Source organism: Homo sapiens, chromosome 17, assembly GCF_000001405.40.
Source record: "Homo sapiens chromosome 17, GRCh38.p14 Primary Assembly".
Classification (NCBI taxonomy): Eukaryota; Metazoa; Chordata; class Mammalia; order Primates; family Hominidae; genus Homo; species Homo sapiens.
This window is the reverse complement of record NC_000017.11, coordinates 61,324,403-61,347,708: the sequence shown is the minus strand read 5'-3', so window position 1 is coordinate 61,347,708 and position 23,306 is coordinate 61,324,403. Positions and strand designations below refer to the sequence as shown.

The 23,306-nt window shown below is 48.1% G+C and overlaps 1 protein-coding gene across 8 annotated transcripts in view, besides 1 other annotated feature; it reads right to left on the bottom strand.

Annotated features, from left to right (window-relative positions):
• Positions 1 to 23,306, bottom strand: part of BCAS3 (BCAS3 microtubule associated cell migration factor) — a 714,981-nt gene that overhangs the window by 45,123 nt on the left and 646,552 nt on the right. The gene's annotated exons all lie outside the window — the stretch shown is intronic.
• Positions 10,907 to 11,201: a silencer, noted in NCBI's record as "tiled region #10586; HepG2 Repressive DNase matched - State 5:Enh, and K562 Repressive non-DNase unmatched - State 21:Repr". NCBI's record gives its function as "represses a minimal TATA promoter and a strong SV40 promoter by Sharpr-MPRA in HepG2 and K562 cells {active_cell/tissue: HepG2 | K562}" and the evidence as "EXISTENCE:reporter gene assay evidence [ECO:0000049][PMID:27701403]".

The window sequence follows — 23,306 nt, the reverse complement described above, 5'->3', positions numbered from 1 at the left end:
AGCACCTAGAGTCACCAATTCCACAACAGACAAAACAGATGTCTATTGTGCACCAGTCGCTATGCTGGATGATGGGAAATTTGGTAAAGGAGACAGACAAAAGCAATAAAATATTTTATGGCCCTATTCTTCCCACTAGACTGTAAGTTCCTGCTGGGCAGCATCTGGCTTTTCATTTTTTAGATCTCTGTCCCCAGTGCACAGCACAGTGCCTCAGTTCCTGGCACCTAGCAGGAAGAAGGGAGGGAAGAAATCAAGGTTGTTTAACTTGGGGAAGACAATATGAAAGCTACAATTTCACTATTCAAATATCTGAAGAGTGATTCTGGCCGGGTGCGGTGGCTCATGCCTATAATCCCAGCACTTTGGGAGGCTGAGGTGGGTGGATCACCTGAGGTCAGCATATCGAGACCAGCCTGGCCAACACGGTGTAACCCCGTCTCTACTAAAAATATAAAAATCAGCCGGGTGTGGTGGTGCATGCCTGTAATCCCAGCTACTCGGGAGGCTGAGGCGGGAGGCAGGAGAATCGCTTGAACCCTGGAGGTGGAGGTTGCGGTGAGCTGAGATTGCACCACTGCACTCCAGCCTGGGTGACAGAGCAAGACTCTGCCTTAAAAAAAAATTTGTTAAAACAAAAATCCAATATTTAGAGAGTGATTTTATAGAAAAGGGAATCAATTTTTCTGTGTCCCCAAGGGGCAAAACAGGACACAGGGAGAGGTCAGTGATCTGGCATATTTCAGACCAACATGAGAAGAGGTGCCAAGTGACCAAGTGACATGACGAACTGCCTTCTGCAGATTTGAGACTTAGCCCAAGTGCAAGCTCCTCTGGGAAGCCTTCCTGGAGTCACCCTGGATGAGGAACCAGTCCCTCTACCACATCCCCACAGCACATGCTAACCCTCTAACACAGCGTAGATGAGACTGTGGTGAAGTGGCTTGCCTTCATGCCTTCTCCTACACTTGGCACTGATTGCTTTATCTTATTTTTAGATTTGCAGAGCCTAACAGAGGCAGTATAGGAAATGGTTAAAGGCTCAGGCTTCAAGGCCCTTGTTCTGTCATTTAATAGTTACATAGCCCTGGGTAAATTATTTACCTCTCTTGGCTCAATTTATACAGCTATAAAATGGGAATACTAAAAATAGTAAGACTTCAATGAACATGCTCAGCACAGCACCTGATACACAGTCAATGCTTGAATGTGCTGCTATCCCACAGAGCCTCACAACAGCCCCAGGCAGCTCTTCCGTTTCAGAAAGAAGCTGAGGTATAAAGTGACTTTGTATTAGGCCACAGAGCTGGAACCGGAGGCCAGAACTTTAGACATCTCATATAACATTCCTTTCAGGCATTTAAAAAAGTTTTCTCCTGATTTTTCAATCATGCTAAAATGACCTGACAATAAAAGGAAGTACTTCTTCTCCAAAGGAATACAAATGCTCTTTGTGGATGACATCACCTCTTCCAAAGAAATGATCTTCCAGTCAGGAGAGAAGCTCAGAGCTCACAAAATCTGTCCCAAACATCCTTGTCACTGGACTCTGCAGGCCTTCTAAGTCAACTCCTCGACTTCAACAAGGATTATGGCACCTACCCCGCTGTTACCTTCTCAACCACTCCTGCCAAGCACTAAAAGTATGATGTCAGGTGCATGACCAAGCCAACACCTTTGGCCTTAAATTCACTGACCTCCAGTCCGCACACCAACGACCTTCACCTTCACTCCAGCAACTCACTCAACTCACTCATCGTCTACAATTGGCCCTTCTAGGATTTTAAGCTTAGAAAGCCCACATATTCATCATAAAACTTCCTATTTGTCTCTCCCACTCACTTCCTTATTCTAATCATGCTGTTTGGCCTCAAGGAGCCTGCTTGCCCCTGGAGTCCTCCCTATCATCCCAATCTACTGGCTTCCTCCTGGTGCCACTCCTTCACTGCCCATCCCCGTGTTTGGGGCTCATAGGTCCTCTAACACCCTCACTAAGTCCACCGTAAAGTCCCCACCTCTGCTCCTCCTAGCCTATCTGCCACTTCCGCTTTGCCAAACCCATCAAGATGAACCATCCAGGCTGCTGAGCTGTGCTACACAAAACGCACATGCTGTGTCAAATGGCACCATGACAAATTTAACAGCTAGGCGCTCCCTGCTCCTCAGCCTACCCTCCTTCTTTCCCTTCCTTCCTCCCTCCCTCCTTCATTTTTCCATGGGTTCCCGGCTACTTCCCTCCTGTATTTCTTCCTCTCCTCAAGCTCCCCAAGCCTGTCACAACTCTTTCCTCATTCTCAGCAAACAACCTGCCAACTAACTGCCTCTGAGATTCCCTTGCTCATTCTTTCCTTTAAAGATTCAGCAGTCCACACATCCTAAAAGTGACCCAGGGCGGGAGTGACAAGCACAAAACACAGCCCCCAAAGAATCGCCCAGCCAGCCAGTCAGGCATAGCGGAAGCGGAGTCTCCTCTGATGAGAGCAGGCAGGAGTGTGAGTGTTGGCTGGGAACAAGAGAACAGCTCTTCCCGGCTTTAGTTTCCCTCTGAATACATTCTGGAGAGTTTTTGATTTTGCCCTTGTCACTTCTTTTCTTCATCAGAGAGCTGGTGCTGTGTGAGGCTGAGTGGCATCCCGAGGTGGAGGAAGATGATGACAGCAGGCGAGCTCTGCCCCAGGCGGATGGTTTATAATCCAGATTACCCTGTGCTTCCTCCGCATGAGAAGGGACAGAGTGGCTATTTTTCTGTGAGGGGTGTGCGTGTGTGTGTGTGTATGTGTGTGTGTGTGTGTATTTCCGATCCAGGAATCATAAAATACCTGTCCATGGTGGCAAACAAGGGGCTGGAGTGACATTGCAACTCCTCGCCATGGTTGTCCCTTACTTAATGACCTGGGCCCTGCTGGCTTCCCATGGCTCATCTCTCCCACTCCCTTCCTTTTGGTAAGCCATGATGAACCTCCCTCAGTCCCTCCAACAACCTCCTTCCTTTCACCCCAGGGCCTTTACATCTTCGCCTTGCTCATCCCTCAACTGCAGCTTAAATCGAACTTCTGGGAAGCCTTTTCTGATCCTCTCCTAGGTTAGGTCAGGTGCCCTGAACCTGCCCTATCAGCATGTAACACACTACTGCCACTGCTGGCTGTTTCCTCCTCTAGAATATAAGCCCCATGGGGGCAGAGATATCATCTACTTTGCTCTCCATGGTACCCTCAAAACTTAGGACCCACCTTCTTTAAAGTCTCTATAGTGGTCTCAGAGAATCAAGGACTTAAATGACAACGGGACACTAACATCAGTGCACAGATGGAAGAAAGTCCCCGTGAAGATGAAGCTGGGCCTAAAAGGAAATTAGTCTTGACAAGAAGACCCAGAGACTTGGTTGAAGAGGCCCATGTCTCTGACAAAAGAGAAGCAACTGGTAAGAGGTTGGCTCTTTAAAAGCAAGGGGATTTTTTTTTTTTAATGTCAAAGGATGATTTTGGCAGGTGAACTCAGGTTCTCCTAAGCAAAGAGGGTTTGCATATTCCGCCTCCTTATGGGTATCAGTGAAGCCTCTCTTAGACTCAGCTGCATGCTCTCTGGGATTGGGGGCTAGCCGGCATCCTTAGCCTGTCCCACGCTCCTGGCCCTAGTCTTCTACTCTCTGATCTTATTACTGACTCTTGCCTGTCTCAGCACACTCAGGACCTTCTTGCCAACCACATTTCATCTGGCCAACTCTACCCAAGCCCACATCCAGCCAGGTCCCCAGTCCTGCTGGGATGCAGGTACCTAACAAAGCACTGGACTGTGTGGAAGGAAGCGAAAGGGGAGGAGGTGGTCCAAAGAGAGAGGGTGTCGCCATGGGGGCTGCAGAGCAGAACTGAGCAAAGAACGCTGACACAGATTTGCTTCTCTCTCTCCAGGCAAAATGCCCAACGGGCACTGTTTTTAGAGGAATTAAGCTGCTTTTGACTTAGACAGAGGATAATCACAAGTTCCTGGAGGATAATATTGGAAAGGGAATCTGACAGGAGAGACATCTGATCACACTCAGAGGTGGCAGAGGAACGGCAGTGGGATGTCTGTTGCCTTGCCATCCAGTTGTTTGGCTCAAACCTCTGCATACGCTTCCTCAACCAGTACTTCTCCAAGGGGCCTCACATCAAGTGAGTTTTTCAAATGCATGGAGCTACAAGGCCCACTCCAGACTAGAGTCAGAACTTCTGGGGCAAAAGTTTGGGGCCTGGGCATCTGTATCTTTAAAAAGCTCATCAGGTGATTCTGATGCACTCCCTGTTGCTATAAACCATGGCCAGATCGCTGCTCCTGCCTGGGTCGGTGTGTCTGCCTGACCATTGGTACTTAGAGAACAGGACGGAGACCTGTGTAATTCTCTCCATTCAGAAGCTACTCTGGCACCATACACAACGGTGCACAATTGAAGGGCTTGTTCTGCTCCTCCACATGGCACCTTTAGAAACGTCACTTCCCCACCTTGTGTGGCAACAGCCTTGGCCAACGTGCTTATGAAGAGCCATGGCAGAGAGGGATGATAGAGGCATTTGGTGCCACCCCTCCACGAATTGACCCTCCTCGGTGGCCCAGGAGCCTGGGAAAATAGGATAAGGTGGCCAAGAAGTTACTCTCTCACCTTCCTTTAAAAGAAAATCTCGGCTGGGCTCAGTGGCTCACGCCTGTAATCCCAGCACTTTGGGAGGCCGAGGTGGGTGGATCATCTGAGATTAGGAGTTCAAGACCAGCCTGGCCAACCTGGTGAAACTCTGTCTCTACTAAAGATACAAAAACATTAGCTGGATGTGGTGGCACATGCCTATAATCCCAGCTAGTTCGGAGGCTGAGGCAGAAGAATCACTTGAACCCAGGAGGCGGGGGTTACAGAGTCGAGATCCCACCACTATACTCCAGCCTGGGCTACAGAGGGAGACTTTATCTCACAAAAAAAAAAAAAAAAGAAAAGAAAATCTCTTCATACAGTACATGATAGAAACCTCTAGCCCTTTACTGTGTTTATTTCTGTAGTGTGGTGCACATCTCTGTCTGCCCAGGACTGTAACAGGGGGTCAGCATACGCCTGCTGCATGACTGAGCAACTGAGGCTGCTAGCCTGGGCTTGGGCTCTCTACCTGTGTAAGCATCTGCCCCAGCGAGGAAGGAGAGAGGATGTGCTCGGCGTTGGGAGGTCCTGGACTGCCACACTGCCTCACTCACTGGGCCTGAGGATCAAGAAGGGAATGGCGTTCTTAAGAACCAGGCCCTAGGCTGGGCACGGTGGCTCATGCCTGTAATCCCAGCACTTTGGGAGGCTGATGTGGGTGGATCACCTGAGGTCAGGAGTTCAAGACCAGCCTGCCATGGCTCTTCATAAGCACGTTGGCCAAGGCTGTTGCCACACAAGGTGGGGAAGTGACGTTTCTAAAGGTGCCATGTGGAGGAGCAGAACAAGCCCTTCAATTGTGCACCGTTGTGTATGGTGCCAGAGTAGCTTCTGAATGGAGATTTAGTGAAACCTCGTCTGTACTAAAAATACAAAAATTAGCCAGGTGTGGTGGTGCATGCCTGTAGTCCCAGCTACTCAGGAGGCTGAGGCAGGAGAATTGCTTGAACCCTGAGGGGTGGAGGTTGCAGTGAGCCGAGATCACACCACTGTACTCCAGCCTGGGCGAAAGACTGAGACTCTGTCTCAAAAGAACCAAGCCCTAAACCACTGTCCGAAGTTCATGATTGCCCCCACTGCCTGTCCACGTCTCATAATCACTTTTCTGTCTATCATATCTAGAAAGTTGTGGCCTCGGAACTTTCTTAAAACTATGATTTCCATCCAAAAATTGCTATCCAAATCATCCCTGAAAGGGAGTACCCACTTGTGTCCTAGTACTGGCTACTGACTTTAAGATATTTTGGGTATCGCAGAGAAAAGGCCGGATGATTGCCACTCCCTGAACCCATCTTTGGGGGCTGAATCTCACTTTATGGAAGCAGCGTGATAACAACCATTGCGGCTTTGGACTGGGTGTGCTTTTCAGTTGCAACTGTCAATCGAGTGTGATTTTAGGGGTTCTGTGGAGGGACTGCTGGCCTCCTAAAGGCAGGCAGTATGATGCTGTGGAAAGAGCACTGAACTTGGAGTCAGAAGACCAGGATCCATCAGCAGCGGGCTGAGTGCCACTGCACCAGTGTTCCGGCTCCACCAGCTTCAGTGTCTTTATGTGCCTAACAGGGATAATGTACCTGCCTCTCCACTTGAAGGGTTACTGAAAGGATCAGATAGAACAGGAAGTGTCCATACGCTCACTCTCTCTGTAAATTCTAAACTGCCGTATTTGGGGAAATACCAGGCTCTCCTCTGAGGACACCGCCTGCCCCGGAGTCCTCTCCTGTGGTGGCTGACTTCTCTCTCTCATCCCTTAGACCAGGGTGGGAGCTGATGTTCTTTTTGCTCCTCGTAGATGCAGACTTTTCTTTCTTTCATAAAACCCCCAACTTTGACTGTGTTGTAAGATTATTCCACCCACTGCCCCTTCTTGTTACAGTCTGTTCCTGTGCCCGCCCCATGCCCTCAGCACACTCACACTCCCTATTCCTTAACGATTCCAGCTTCTGCTTCACTGCCACTCTAACAGTGTCACAACACTAACCCGATCATACTCACACAGATGACCCTGTCAGCAACCTGGCCTCTCAGGCCCTGACCCTCCTCCCTTCCAGCGCCCTTCTCCATCCCCTCTGCCACTCACTGCCATGGCTCTTCCTTTGATGGAATTAACAATAACTGCAAATCTCATCACAATCCTAATCTCATATATCCCACACTGACTGTTGTCTCTTCTCCTTCTGGTTCTCTGCCTCTGCTAACCCAATTCCAAGCAGCCTTCAGCCTCACCAGGGTGTATAATACATTGATCCCGCCTGCTTTTCACTATCCCCCAACTCCATGTCCTCTCTTCCCACCACATCCAGTTGTTAGACTCAGTCCCTTGCACACACTCTCAGCTTCTGCATCCCTCTTTCCCTTGGCCATACCGGCCTGGTGAAACCACAACCTTGTTAAATCCAACTTCTACCCACTCCCCGTCCCCCGCAGCGACTCACAGCAGGGAGGAAAGCACACCATGCTAACGGGTCTGAGCCTGACCTGATGATCACTCACACCAGACGGACCTTTAATGCTGCCCTCCAGTGCTATTTCCTGAGCGCATTCACTCTTTCACCCTCCTAAATGATTACTTCATCGTTTCTCCTCTACCCTCAAACTGTCAATATCTTCTCCACCATTCTCGCTTTCAGTGGAGGGCTTAGATGACGGCTTCATCGAGAAAATGGAAGCCATCAGAAAGGTATTTAAAGTCCTGTCCTGGAATCCACCCACCCCCTGCATCTGTGTATACACAGTCCCCCTTCCTTCTACCAAGGTCAATCCCTCCATGTATGCACCAGCCCCCACCCCCTCTTGCCATCACTATGCTAGTATTTCTTCCATTAAAAAGAAAAAAAGAAAGACCTTCTTGACCTCATTTCCTCTTCTAGTTACCGCCCCCATTTCTCTCTTTCCCTTAATCAAAACTCCTTGAAAGAGATGTCTGGACTTGCTGTCTACAACTGCTTTCCTCCCTTTCTCTCTTTGAACACACTCCAATGAGGCTTTGCCCCCTCTCTGTACTGAAACCGCTCTTCCAAAGTTAATGTCGTCCCCGTTTCTTTTTCAACAAATCAATTAATGCAGAGACTTCCACATTATTGAATCCCACAGCCATTTCTCAGTTATCATCTGGCCTCATCTTTCAGCAGGTCAAGTGTGCTTTCGACATAGTTGACCCTCTCTCTACTTGGCTTTCGGGACAGCACACTCACCTGGTTTTCCTCCCATCTTTCCGGCCGCTACTTTGCAGTCTCTTTTACTGGCTCTTCCACTCATCTCCTTGGTCTTTTTTTTTTTTTTTTAGATGGGGTCTCGCTTTGTCGCCCCGACTGGAGTACAGTGGCGCGATCTCAGCTCACTGTAACCGCCACCTCCTAGGTTCGAGCGATTCTCCTGCCTCAGCCTCCCGAGTAGCTGGGATTACAGATGGGCACCACCACGCCCGGCTAATTTTTGTATTCTTAGTAGAGAAGGGGTTTCACCATGTTGGCTAGGCTGGTCTCGAACTCCTGACCTCAGGTGATCTGCTCACCTTGGCCTCCCAACTGCTGGGATTACAGGCTTGAGCCAATGTTTCCAGCCTCCTCAGTCTTTAGATGCTGAGATTCCCTAGTTTACCTGCAAAGCCTTGGTCTGGTCAAGAAAGGAATAGAATGCCAAGGGAAATGCTAGTTTGAGCTCCTTTAGGCGGCTTCATGGGCCTTCCCATTGTATCCTTATCCCCTGGATCCAAGGGAGCCAGTGCACTCACCAAACCAAAACCCTTTCTTCATTGGCTTTTGGGTGTGACCTGGGATGAAGGAGAGGTGGGCACTAGGGGCAGGGAGTAAAACCGACCAAGGGCAAGTGGCGCCTGCCACTGTCAGAATCAGGGTTGAAGCCGAGAGCTGGGAAGATGACTGCCAATCGTCAGTTTCTGCATCCTCCACAGAACAACCTTCCCAGGGGGTCACATGTCACTGATTGAGTAATAGAGTCCAAAAGAACATGAGAAAATGGGAGAGGCAGATGGGTCTTTGTGAATTTTTTTTTTTCCCAAAACCAAGATGTTAAACTTTGGCCCACTAAGAAATGGGGTATGAAGAGGGACTTGACTGCCATGAAGGGGGAGAAAGAAGAGTTCATCTTATTTGCTGTTTTTCCTTTCTGCTTTTTTTTTTTTTTTTTTTTTTTTTTTTCCCAGTAAGGGCACCAGATAGGCTTCCCATTTGAGGACTGATAAGAATTTGCCTTGGGACACTGAAAAAAAATAACTTTTCAGTGTCACAGGGGAAAATGTATTCTTCCTAGGAAATGGAAAAGGCGTTACTCAGAGTGAGGACACAGGGAGCTACGACTCCCACGCGGGCCTGCACTGCCAGATCCAACAGTGATGGGCAGCCTCCCACCCCTGGGACAGCCTTCTTCTTCCAGGCTGGCTTTGGCCTGACTCACAGATCCAAAAGCCCCTACCTCCACTCGGCAAACAATGCCAGAACAACATCTGCTACCCCTAACCTACTTCCCAAAAGAAATGATTAAAAAGTTAAAGAAACACTTCCATATGGAAGAATCCAATCCCAACAGGTCACCACAAAGATACTTCAAACACAATAAAACAGGAAGAGCTAAAAAAAGCAGAGAAGTTCACAGAACCCACACAATCTTTTATATAAGAAAAAAAAAAGCGACTCTGGTAACTTTACACAGTTCAGAACACCATTTGGCAGTTAAGTATGTCCTTAATCTGCTGAATTTGCTTATTATAGTAAAGGTTTAGAAGAATTTGAGAGCGGTGGCCAAAAATACTGCAATAATCTCTACTCCTAAAGTAAACTTACAAAGTGAATTAACTTCTTCAACTGAAATATTTCAAAGTTGAAAGTGTTTGTCCCCTACCGCCCCCGCCAGAGACTGGCCACAGGGATGACACAGTCACTTAAAATCAGAACCACTTGAGTGGATTTATGGTTATTCATCCAACAAATATTTATGGGGCACCTAACATAACATAAGCCGGGCCCAGGGTTAGTCACTGAGATACAACATTAAGCGTGACATTCGACCTAACTTTGAGTTGCTCACAACACAGAAGGGACGCTGCAGTTCCTAAGTCAGAACCCAGACTAACAATACCCTAGAGCTGTGGGGTACTGGATGAAGCGCTTTACCTCACCGAGCCTTGGTTTCCTCAACTATAAAATGGGATAGAACTATCTTCCTTGCAGGACTGGTGGAAATATTCACAGGCACACCACAAATTCTCCATAACAAGGAGGCTTTCTCTGTCTCTAACACCTTGTGAAATGCTGAAAGGTTTCAGCCAAGAACCTAGTGGACACTTTAAGGCTAGAGGAGAGGGAGTAGATCAGAAACGACCTTTAAGGGGTGAGCGCAAAAAGAAAAAGGAAAAAAAAACAATAAAAACAATCCCACCAACATTCAGTTTAGGTGTACTAGAAACTGTAATTTTCTTCGGAGAGTAACAGACGCAGAGGCTGTTCACATGGAATTTGGCAAATCAAAGGCGAGGGAAGCCTGGCAGGATCTTGGCAGGAGGATCCCTGGGAGCATTTTGTTGCTCCAAGAGGAAGACCTGGGGCCGAGGGCTGTGGGCAAAGCCAAGCGTCTCCTCCTAGAGGCTGCAAGCTGACTTCTTTGGCCACCTCTCTTGGGCCTTAAATTGCTTCCTGAGGTGAGGCCCCCAGCTAATGGTTTATTTACAACGGAAGCAGCACTGACCTGGGAGAACACTGAATCACAGACCCCACATTAGCCAGGAACACCAGTGCTCTCCACCAATAACTTCCCAAGATACGTGAACCTGCAACTGCCTCTATTTACAGACACTGACATGGCTCACGTCCCTGTTCCACTCGGGTGAGGCGATTTAAATAAAGTATAAAAAAGGGAGCCTGGGCAGAAATATCAGGCTTGGAGTTCAGAAAGGATAAAGTTTGTTGTTGTTTTTTTTTGAGATGGAGTCTTGCTCTGTCACCCAGGCTGGAGTGCAATGAGGCAATCTTGGCTCACTGCAACCTCCACCTCCCAGGTTCAAGTGATTCTCCTGCCTCAGCCTCCTGAGTAGCTGGGATTACAGGCACGTGCCACCAAGCCTGGCTAATTTTTGTATTTTTAGTAGAGACAGGGTTTCACCATGTTGGCCAGGCTGGTCTCAAACTCCTGACCTCAAGTGATCTGCCCGCCTTGGCCTCCCAAAGTGCTGGGATTACAGGTGTGAGCCACCACGCCTGGCCAGAAAGGATAAAGTTCTGCTGCTGCCTTTTCTGTGTAACCTTGGGCAAGACTTTTCCTCTCTGGGCAAAATGACATGACACATTCATGCCCCCAAATCTAGCTTTCCCCAAACAAAGTTGTCAGTAACATTAAGACAAACAAACAAAAAATGGATACAGCACCCCTGTGGATGAATGAAATGAAGCCCCAGTACAAAGTACAAAGGATTGTGACTGCGGGGAAGCCAGGCTTGGCATGAACACAGTGCACCTTCCAAACTAGAAAGCCTGTTATGTGAAAACTGGCAAGGCTGCTGCCAGCGTAGCTGGGCTAGAGGTGGGCATAGGTGGGTAAGGTTTCTAGAAAGACCCACAGAGAACAGGAAGAAAGCTTGAAGCTCTCCGTGGGAGGACGCTGACAAAGACCAGGGGAAAGAAGCCTAAGAGAATGCAGGCTGTCTGTTCCGATATTTAATATCCAAGAACTAAAGGCAGAAGAGGTGCAAAAAGCTTAATAGTATTTGTAGTTCAAATTAAAGTGTTCAAAGCCCCGTTATAGAGCAGGGTAATGTATGCAATGACATCTGGGACTGTAATCAGCAAAGTGCTTTCAAGAGCTGCCAAAGCAAACAGCCAAATAACAAATCCACTTTACAGATCATCAATCCGGTCCTGGACTTGCCAAGGTAAATAGTAAAAGGCTGAAGTTTGCTTTGCAAACCAGGGAGCTGGGAGTTTAGCGAGGCCTTGATCCAGAGCAGCACCACTGGGCCAGGGCCTCTGGAGCTGGAGGCGCGAAAGGAAAGCCGACACGCCCTGTATCTGAAAAGTATGGAAAGGGGGCTGGGAGCGAGGGCTCCCCGAGGTGGGGGGCTGGCAGCCCCTTGGGGTGAGGTCTAAAGACAGCTGTCAATCTGGCAGGCAGCCACAGCTGCTAGGCTGGGCGGTACCCTCTCAGGTGCCCACTCTCCAGCTCAGACTCTGGTGCTTTGCGTTTTTGGCCAGATTGGAGTTTATAGATTTCTGAGAAGAAAATACAACCAGAAGCTGCTTTTTCTCCCTTGCTTCCAGTTTCTATGAAAGGCAATTAACTCTCAAAGCCAGAAAGGCAATTCTTTTTTTCTGATTTTTTCTAGAGATGGGGTCTTGCTTTGTTGCCCAGGCTGGTCTTGAACTTCTGGCCTCTAGCGATCCTCCTGCCTCAGCCTCCCATAGTGCTAGGATGAGCCATTGCACCTGGCCCAGAAGAGCATTTCTCAGAGAAGTCAGTCAGCACCCAGAGGAGAAGGCACAGTCCTAGGGAGTGGATGCTCTCCTGCAAAACCTGACTCACAGGGACCCTGACTCCCCGGAGCTCTGAGCTGAGGCAGCTGTAGAAGAGCAGTGGCCAAAGGGCATCTTGGCGTCATTGCTGAGAGTCTTACAACTGGAAAAAAGGCCCAGACCCTTTGATGAGACCCAACAGGCAGAAAATAGTAGTTCTGAGTCAGAGGGGAAGAAGTGCTCCTGCAACATTAGGGACCTTGACTATAGACACATTGCGAGTGTGCCCTGGAAAGGACGATTCAGCATGTTAGGCCAGAGGGGAAAGTCCCCCTCCTAGCCCTGGGAAGGAATCGCTGCTGTGAACGTACAGAGCACACACAAGGCCTGCGGACTTTAGTGGAAGCAGACTTGCCTAAAGGGCAAGGGAACCTAAGGGAAGTTTGCTGAGTCAACTTGGTGAGAAAAAGAAATGGGCTGAAAATGACACCAGGCTGAAAGCTGGGGCAGTGATGTGCCTGAGGAAGAACTCCGGTCTGTTCTGGGTGCCCCTGGGATGACCACAGTGGCCAGGTAACTGAGGTCCTGTGCTCAGGTTCAGGACCTCAGTCAGGTTCAGTCCTCAGGCAGGTTCAGGCTCTCCCCATCCACAGACCAACTTCTGCGAAGGCCAGGTGCAGTAAAGGTCTCTCAGCCTTAGCTACTGGGCCAAGGCCCATCAGTGGGTCAAGCATTTACTGGGCACTAATAAATACCGGTTGCTGTTACAGTGAGCTGTTCCTGTGACACTTAGGTTTCCCAAAAATACAATTCAACATTTGTCGTGGCTCCTTTGCCCTCTTAGGATCTATTATGTGTAAGACATTGGCTCAATGACTGGATACATCGTTTTCTTGGTGTTTTTTTTTTTTTTTTTTTTTTTTTGAGATGGAGTTTTGCTGTTGTTGCATAGGCTGGAGTGCAATGGTGCGATCTCAGCTCACCGCAACCTCCACCTCCCAGGTTCAAGCGATTATCCTGCCTCAGCCTCCTGAGTAGCTGGGAATACGGGCAGGGCCACCACGCCCAGCTAATTTTGTATTTTCAGTAGAGACCAGGTTTCTCCACGTTGGTCAGGCTGGTCTTGAACTCCTGACTCAGGTGATTCGTCTGTCTTGGCCCCCCAAAGTGCTGGGATTACAGGCGTGAGCCACCGCGCCCGGCCCATTATTCTTACAACATAACTCTGCAACATAGGTTTTATCATCCTATCTTATAGATGAGAGAATTGAAACTCAGAGAAGTTACATAACTTGCCCAAGGTCATCCAGCTCACCCTTGTCTCCTACGTGCTTTTTCCATGACTTCTAAGGAAGTAACTATTGATCCCCATATCCTCCCTCTCTCATCTGTGTTCAAGGGAGATGGCTTTGACATGAGCTCAGAAGCTCTTTGTTGATACTTCTACTGTATCATGATCATCTGTCTACATATCTGTCTCCCTTGCTAGGCTGTGAAGACCTGCAGGGCTGAGATTGTGTCTGATTACCTTTCTGAGTCTCTAGGGCTCTCTTAGGGACTCATCAAATTATATGTTGAATTAATATCTGAATGAATGAATGAATGAATATATGAATGCTGACTCATCTCTCAATCAGGGAAGCAAATGACCAGAAAGGTTCAAGAACTTGGCAGGGTACCATGGCTCATGCCTGTAATCCCAGCACTTTGGGAGGCCGAGATGGGCGGATCACTTGAGGTAAGGAGTTTGAGACCGGCTTGGCCAACATGGTGAAACCCCATTTTACTGAAAATATAAAAATGAGCTGGGTGTGGTAGTGTGCCCCTGTAATCCCAGCTACTCGGGAGGCTGAGGCAGGAGAATCGCTTGAACCTGGGAGGCAGAGGTTGCAGTGAGCCGAGATCGCACCACTGCACTCCAGCCTAGGCGACAGAGCGAGACTCTGTCTCAAAAAAAAAAAAAGAAAAAAAAAGAAAGTTTCAAGAACTTGATAAAGCTCTAGTGCTAGTTTAGTGGGCAAGAAAGGGGCTGTTGGGCTCAGGAAGGCAGTGAGCGCTGGCAGACATTGCGTGGTTTGCACGGGATTGGCAAGGGTCGGGGGCGCCACAATGTGAGTGGACAGGAGGGTGAGCTATTGGTGATGCTGAGACAGAGGCCTGCCTGCCTCACAGGACGTCTCCACTTTGTCCTAGGCCTGGCTTGAGGTCATAGACAGCTATTGTCTGGTAAGAACTGGTGCCCTCTGAAGATTACAGGCAGAGATCAGCTGCTGGGCACAAACCCCTCTGAAGATGGAGCTTTTCCAAGACCGACAACCACCGCAGAAGTGGCTGGCAAGGTCTGAGGGACCAGCTGCTCCCTGTGCATAACTGCACTTGCTCCTCTCACCAGACTTTGTTTCTCTGATCACACAGGTGTCCTCTCTGACCCACCTGCCAATAAAGGTCCAGAAATAGGTGTGAGTGGGGTCCAGGGAGAAAGCACCTTGCTGGGGTCTATGAGAAAGGGCTTGTGGAACCTCCAGGCTGCAGCAGTGTAGGTTTAGGGAGGGCAGTATTCTAGAAAGGTTACTGAACTCAGAGTCAGGAAGCCAGAATATAGTCCCCGCTCTGCCCTAGACTTGTAATATGACTTCTCTGAGCCTTAGCTGCCTCCTTTTTAAGATGGGGATAGGCCGGGTGCCATGGCTCACGCCTATAATCCCAGCACTTTGGGAGGCCAAGGCGGGCAGATCACCTGAGGTCAGGAGTTTGAGACCAGCCTGGCTAACATGGTGAAACCCCGTCTCTCCTAAAAATACAAAAATTAGCCAGGCGTGGTGGCAGACGCCTATAATCCCAGCTATTCAGGAAGCTGAGGCAGGAGAATGGCTTGAACCTGGGAGGTGGAGGCTGCTATGAGCCGAGATCATGCCATTGCACTCCAGCCTGGGTGACAGAGCAAGACTCTATCTCAAAAAATAAAAAAAAATAATAATAAAAGATGGGGATAATAATTCCTATGTCACAGGGTAGTATAGAGATTAGCAGAGGCAATCAGTTGGAAAGAACTCTGTAAAACTGCAACAGTCTCTTTAGGAGATTCTTTTCTTGCTGTCAAATTGTTTCCCTCCTTTCAATATGGAGCCATAAGCCCTACCAACCAGTGAAGTGTTTGCCCCTCACAAACATGGCAAGCAGGGGCTCCCATGGTGAAGGAAGCTGACCTCTCGGATGGTGGAGGGAGGGGAGGGGACGCTGTAGTCAGAGCAGGATGTTCAGGGCCTGGATGACTAGGTGTCTGAGCGCTGGGCATACCTTAAGCCTGCTGTCCTAGTAAGACTGTTTTAGGTGGGTCACCAGGCAGTATCTGTTCTAAGAATGCCTTCTTCTCATGTCCCCGAAACATAGAAGAGAAGCCATCCAGGTGTCTCTCTGCAGAGCCTTTCCAGAGAGAGGAGCCCGTGGCCCAGCTCCAGAGCCCGGCGGGCTGGGTGGCAACTCTCTGCACTTGTCTGAGGCAGCCTCGCCCTGCTCATGGGAGGTCGAGACCCACATGCCAAACCAGACACGCATATGGAGAAGATTAGCCCAAACATGCAAAAGAGACAGACCAGCACAGGATGAAACAGGGAAAAAGGCCGGTTTGGTACAAACCCCAAAAAAGCATACCACTCGAGCCCATCATGGGCTCAGTTATGGGCAGATAAAGCTCTTGCCAGCCCTGGTGATGGGCTGAGGATTCAGGCAGGTCATCACCTCAGGCCAACAATCACACCTGCCACGTGCTGAGTACACACTGAGAAGCCACGCTCGACTGGAGTGACACAAATTTGTTCTGTGTTCATGAGTTCTCGTCACAAGAATTCTCCTTTCACTTTCCCACACTGCTAGGAGTGGGATGTAGGAAGGATTATATTATTTGAACCTTTTTCTTTTTTTCCTTCCATTTAAAAGAAATTAAAAATAAAAACTTAAAAATAGAGATGGGGTCTCACCCTGTTGTCCAGGGGGGTCTTGAACTCCTATGCTCAAGTGATCCTCCCACTTCAGCCTCCCAAAGTGCTGAGATTACAGGCATGAGCCACTGTGCCTGGCCTGGACCTTTTCCTTGAGGCTAAAGTTTTGAACTAGTTCTGGGCTTGAACCTGGTGACCTCCTCCTGTGCCAAATAAAGCGACAGGGGCATCTGGCTGCTTGCCAACCCTCTCCCCACTCCCAAAGAAATTTTGGAAGCTCCAGTGATCATATCCTGTCAGAAACAGATCCAGAGAACAGAACGTCCCAGAATGAAACAAGGCAAAGCACTTGTCACATGCTTTGTGAAAGGAAAAACTCTGAAGATCAGCAGGAACCTTTGGCAACTGTCCAGCCAAAAAGCCCCCCTCCCACTCTAGCCCCCATCTTCTCCATCCCCTACCCCTGTGTGCTGAGGCTTCTAGGGCTGCTACTGTTTCATCTGTTTCATGTGTATTTCTCTGACCTTTCTGGGAAAATTGGAAGCTCCCAGAACGCAGGACATGGTCTTATATGCTTTTCTCACCCCTACGGAAAGCACCTATAGTAGTTTTCAACAAGGAGTTGCATTTGTTCAACAGCTCCCCTGGCACTGTGCTAGTGCACACTCACCGCCCAGAGAGGCCCTTTGGGAGGTGGTTTCACCTGACCTAGTAGAGAGATGGCAGAACTGTCACACAATGACAATGATTACAGGATGTCAACGCTGGCAGAGACCATTCACCACCATTGGCTGATTCTGCAAATGAGGAAACTGAAGCCCAGGGAAAGAAAGTTACTTGTTCCCAGTCATGCTATGGAGTACAGTGATAGTGCTGGGATTAGAACTCGGGTCTCCTCATTCCCTGGCCATTGCTGCCGGAGTCCTCTGTGCACTTCAGGTGTCCCCTGTGTGCTCACTGGTGTGTGTTTCTGAGGAATAGCCAGATGGGCAGGGGGACTCCTGGGGGCCTGTGGCTGTGGAGGTCTGAGAAGCTATGGAGTCTATAGCGTGGGAATGTGAGTCTCAGCTTCATCATGGACTTAGTCCACTGGCCGCAGAGGCACATGCTGACCTCTTTCATAAAACCTTCCACTGAGAAGAATGTCCTGCTGCCCAGGGAATGAAGGCCTGCATTTGGGGGCCCAGGCCAATTCAAAGTGAACACTTGGGAAAGTGAGAAACTACTGGCTGGGCATGGTGGCTCATGCCTGTAATCCCAGTGCTTTGGGAGGCTGAGGCCAGAGGATCACTTAAGGCCAGGAGTTTGAGGCTGCAGTGAGCCGTGATTGCGCCACTGTACTACTCCAGCCTGGGTGACAGAGCAAGACCAGGTCTCAAGAGAGAAAGAAAGGAAGGGAGGGAGGGAGGGAGGGAGGGGAGAGAAGAGGTGGAGAGAAAAGGGAAGGGAAGGAAGGTAGGAAGAAACGAAGAAATAAAAAACCTACTCTTAGCCCTTCTCTCAGCCTATGAAAAGAACTAGAAATTTCAGAGACCATCTTCAGTGAATTGAAGGCTTTTCAACTCAGAAGAGACCTCCGGGCATCTAGACTAAATTCTGTACTGCAACATTGGTTTACTTGGCAATTTCTCCCCCTCAACAATAAGTTCTGTTAGGGCAGGGACGGTGTCTTCTTCATTTTTATATTTCTAGCGCCTAACAGTGTCTGCTAAAAGGAAATTCTCACTAAATGCTCGTTAAACAGCCACTCTGAACTTCATAATCAGGGACAGCTGCTCGAAGACTGAGCAGGTAAGCGGCGTCTTGCGGTCTTCATGGATAAGTGCAGCAAAGCCCTGCAGGTAAGCTTGGAGGAGGTGAGCGCCGAGGACGAACGTAGGATGGAACCCCTTTTCCTCCTCCTCACCCTCACCCGGAGCTATTCCATAGTCAGTCACCATTCCTGCCCTCTCACTTCTGTTCTCTTCAAAAGTCTTTACTATTATTTCTGATTAGAAAAATAACAACATAGGCCGGGCATGGTGGCTCACGCCTGTAATCCCAGCACTTTGGGAGGCCGAGGCCGGTGGATCACAAGATCAGGAGATCGAGACCATCCTGGCTAACACGGTGAAACCCCGTCTCTACTAAAAAATACAAAAAATTAGCCGGGCGTGGTGGCGGGCGCCTGTAGTCCCAGTTACTTGGGGGGCTGAGGCAGGAGAATGGCGTGAACTCGGGAGGCGGAGCTTGCAGTGAGCCGAGATCGCGCCACTGCACTCCGGCCTGGGCGACAGAGCGAGACTCCGTCTCAAAAAAAAAAAAAAATAATAATAATAATAATAACATGGCCTGGATGTTTGTGTCCTCCCAAAGTTTATATTAACCCTAACCCCTGATGTTTTGGTATTTGGCGGTGGGGCACATTTGGTCACAAGGGTGGAGTACTCATGATAGGATCGGTGCCCTTAGAAAAAGAGCCTGCTTTGGCCAGGCGCCTGTAATCCCAGCACTTTGGGAGGCCGAGGCGGGCTGATCACCTGAGGTCAGGAGTTCAAGACCAGCCTGGCCAACATGGTGAAACCCCATCTCTACTAAAAATACAAAAAACTAGCCGGGCGTGGTGGTGGGCACCTGTAGTCCCAGCTATTCGGGAGGCTGAGGCAGGAGAATTGCTTGAACCCAGGAGGCGGAGGTTGCGGTGAGCTGAGATTGCACCACTGCACTCCAGCCTGGGCGACAGAGCAAGACTCCGTCTCAAAAAAAAAAAAAAAAAAAAAAGAGCCTGCGTCTTCATGCTCTGCCATGTGAAGGCACAGAAAGACGATGGCTACCTGTAAACCAGGGAGTGGGTCCTCAGCACACACCAGATGTGCTGGCATTTTGTTTTTGTTGTCTTGTTTTTTGAGACAGGATCTCACTCTGTCATCCAGGCTGGAGTGCAGCAGCACAATCAGGGCTCACTGCAGCCTTGACCACCCCTGGCTCAGGTGATCCTCCCACTTCAGCCTCCTGAGTAGCTGGGACTACAGGCGCACACCACCACACCTGGCTAATTTTATATTTTTTGTAGAGACGGAGTTTCGCCATGTTGCCAGGCTGGTCTTGAACTCCTGGGCTCAAGTGATCCGCCAGCCTCGGCCTCACAAAGCGTTGGGATTACAGGTGTGAGCCACTGTGCCCAGGCTTGCTGGCACTTTGATCTTGGACTTTGGCTTCCAGAACTGTGAGAAATAAACTTCCTGTTGTTTAAGCCACCTAGTCTATGGTATTCTGTTATAGCAGTCTGAATTAACTGACAATGGTAATTGTAAACTATTTTAACTATATAAAACCACAAAACAGAGTGAGAATTCCCTGTTTGTTTTTGTTGTTTACTTCCCCAGAGACAAGCACTGTTAATGGAGCTTTATGCTTCTACTAGTTTTTTCTTTCTCTATAGGATCATATTATACACATTGTTTTTCACCTGCTTTTTTAAAACTTAAAAATGTTATTAAGGTTTTTTTTTTAAAGCTATAGGTTATTCCACGATATGTGCATACTAAAATTTATTGTTACTCTCTCTGCAGACCAATAATTAAATTATTTCATTTTTTTTCCTTTGCCGTTACAACAGTGCTTTTGTCTATACCTTAATAATTTTACCTATATTTTTGTGGAATAAATTCCTAGAAAATAAATTGCTGGGTGAAAAAGAATAAACTATTAATGTATAATGGTTACTACCAAACTGCCTTCCAAAAAGGGTGCACCAATTTACACCAACAGTGTCTGATCAACCATTGCAAACCTTAAAGTCACACCTACCACTAAGTTCCTTGAACTGGATGTCACCTTTGTGTTATTCAGTCAGATCTTGGGCAGGGCGCAGTGGCTCATGCCTGTAATTCCACCACTTTGGGAGGCTGAGGCAGCTGGACCACTTGAGGCCAGAAGTTCGAGACCTGCCTGGCCAACATGGTGAAACCCCATCTCTACCAAAAATACAAAAATTAGTGGGGTTTGGTGGTACATGCCTGTAATCCCAGCTACTCGGGAGGCTGAGGCAGGAGAATGTCTTGAACCCGGGAGGCGGAGGTTGCAGTAAGCCAAGACTGTGACACTACACTACTCTCCAGCCTGGGTGACAGAGTGAGACTCTGTCTAAAAAAAAAAAAATTTTGCTTCATTTTCTATTTGCTCCCTCATCTCCACATACTTGCCTGTTATCTAACCCTCAATATAGTCTCATTACAATTCTATGATGTCATAAACATTTACATTTATTATATTAACTTGTAAATGTCTCCTTGACTCTGTAGTCCAATTGCCTCTAAAATTGATTTTTTAAACGTTTGTTTATTTTTATTTTTATTTTATTTTATTTTTGAGACGGAGTTTCACTCTGTTGCCAGGCTGAAGTGCAATGGTGCAATCTTGGCTCACTGCAACCTCTACCTCCTGAGTTCAAGTGATCTCCTGCCTCAGCCTCCCTAGTAGCTGGGACTACAGGCGCCCGCCACCACACCCAGCTAATTTTTGTATTTTTAGTAGAGATGAGGTTTCACCATGTTGGCCAGGTGGTCTCAATCTCTTGACCTCATGATCTGCCTACCTCGGCCTCCCAAAGTGCTGGGATTACAGGTGTGAGCCACCGCGCCCGGCCTGTTTTGTTTTTTAATTAAAAATTTTATTGCCCTTTTATATTTCCTTTAAAAATATTTTTCCTTCTACTATTTGTTATTTCTTTTTTCTTTTCTTCCTCTAACAACAAATACAAATAGATTTTGAGTTGCCTAAAGGGAGAGATGGTGTCCAATCCATCTTTTTATCACCTCCCATTCTTCTCTCCCCATTCTTTCCTAAGGAAACCCCTAGACCAAACACCTCTTCTGTGCTGAAGACCCATAGATCTGACTGTAGATTTAACATCTTCAAATCCACTGGAAATGTAATGTATCCAAGCCTCCTCCTCCATGTGACTAGGAGCTCTTAGTGAATGACATCAAATGAGTGAAGTAAGCCAGAAAACTGGGGAGCATCCTTAACATCTCTTCCTCTCCACCCACCCATGTCCACTCCGTAACAAAGCCCTGTGGAATCTACCTCCTAAATAACACTCATTACTGTCCACTTCTATTTGCTACTGGGCCAGCCTAATCCATTCCATCATGTTCTACTCGACTTCTCTAACAGTCTCCTGTCTTCCACAGTAAGGTCAGAGTGATCTTTTCAAAACTCACCCTCTGCTGAAAACATGCTTCTCATTTAGGATAAAACTAAAGTCCACATGAGCAGCAAGACCCCACAGTCACCCCAGGCTATTGTCCCGCTTAGGTGCTGAGCTCCAGCCACCCAGGCCCTCTTTCAACTCCTTAAGCATTTCTTTTTCCTCTTCCCCTCTTACTCCCTTTGCTGATTTATCTCACCCATTAGAGCCAAGCTTAAATGGGACCTCCTTAGGGAAACTCTCCCTGCATACCCTTTTCAGATGCTCTCATACCACATGGAATTTTTCCTTCATTATACTTCACACAATTTGTAATTATGTTAATTTGTGAGATTATCTGATTAATGTCTTTTCCCCTCCTAGACCACAAACTTCACAAGCTCCACTGTGTCCGGGCAGTGCGCATTTAATAGCACACACAGTTAGCATTTATAGAGATTTGATGGATGCCAAACAAATGAATGGTGGGTGCTTAGTAATGTATGACAACACGATTTTTCACTCTGTTCTCTGCCGAGGCTTCCCTGCAGTATATATTAGCCAGATTTAATCTGGATACAGATACAGTGAGTCTCTAGTGAGAGAAACATTCAGCATGACTGGGTCCCAGATGACTGTCCCCAGGGACCACCCTATCCTGTTTATCTTGCCACCAAGACCAGGAAAAATGGAGACACTCATTTCAAAAACACCTCCCTAAAAAAGCCCCTGCTTTGTGGAGTTGGCCCATCTCTCTCCTGCTGGTCATCATCAGGCCTGTTACTCCTGGAAGCCAGCCAGTTATTCTTTGAAAACGGGGCCCTGTCACTTTAAGATTTTAGTCCCTTGCTTGGGCCATATATCAATGCTCCCTGCGGCAGTGGCTGTGCTGCCTGCTGTTCAAATTTGTCCAATTAGACACAGCCCCATGGGGTGGAATTCAGTGTGAAATGTGCCTGCCACTGACCAAGAATGAATTGGTATGGAAAGCCCTCAGGGAGAGCCAGTGCAGGTCTTCCCAGGAAAGGCTCACCACCCTCCAGGCAGTGCCCATATCCCTGGAGCAGAGGGTCACCCTGCAAGCCCTGTGAGCCCTAATAACTGTTCAGGGCAGGGTGGGGAGAGGCCACGCCGAGTATGTGCAGGACAGGATGGAGGTTGAGAATCAGGCCCCACAGATATGAAAAGGTCAGGGCGCTATTTGTACGGTTGTTAGTTACTTGCAATGGTCTCTATCAGCCACACAAGTGCGATTCTGTCACTTCATAATGTAAGTTAAATGCTAACTGTGTAACAGCCTGTGGTCCTGTTGTGGTCCACAGAGACACAGAGTCAAACATTCAAAAAATTCCCATCAGCAACTCATTTGGCAGTGGAGGGAGCGGGGTTTTAAAGCCCAGGCTAACTGTGCATGGTGGGATGGCCTCTAGTGGAAATGGTTTTAAGAGAAGAATTTTCAGTGTCTCTAACAAAAACATCTCCTTTGCAAGAACTCTCTAACTTAATTTTTAAACTGTTTCCTCTTTCTCCTCTAGCAGCTCAAACTTTTCTTCTAAAACTCTTAGAAGTCTTCGAAGGTTAGACTTTTGAACATGGAGAAATTTCAGAGATCACACAGTCTACATCTTCTTTTTTGTTTCTTCTTTTTTTTTTTTTTTCATAGAGATGAGGTCTCACTAGGTTGCCCAGGCTGGTCTTGAACTCCTGAGCTCAACTGATCCTCCCGCCTTCTGAGATTATAGAAGTGAGCTACCGTGCCTGGCTGGATACCATTTTATAAACAAGGCAAATGAGATGAGGGAGAGGAAATGACTCAGCCAAGGTCAAACAGCTAGTGGCTGGCAGGGCTGGACGCCAGGCTGCTGACCCCAGGCCCAGCCCTTACTTTACTGTCATTCAGTGCTGCCTTCCTTTTGGAGGCGATTTCAGTTTGATTTTTTAACACACAGCCAACCCGGGGTCAGGATATATATAGATATACCATAGTCAGGATATACTAGAACTGGGATTAAACGCACACAAATATTACATGTACATATATTAATACTACCACACATACTCGGGGCAGCCTCTCCCTG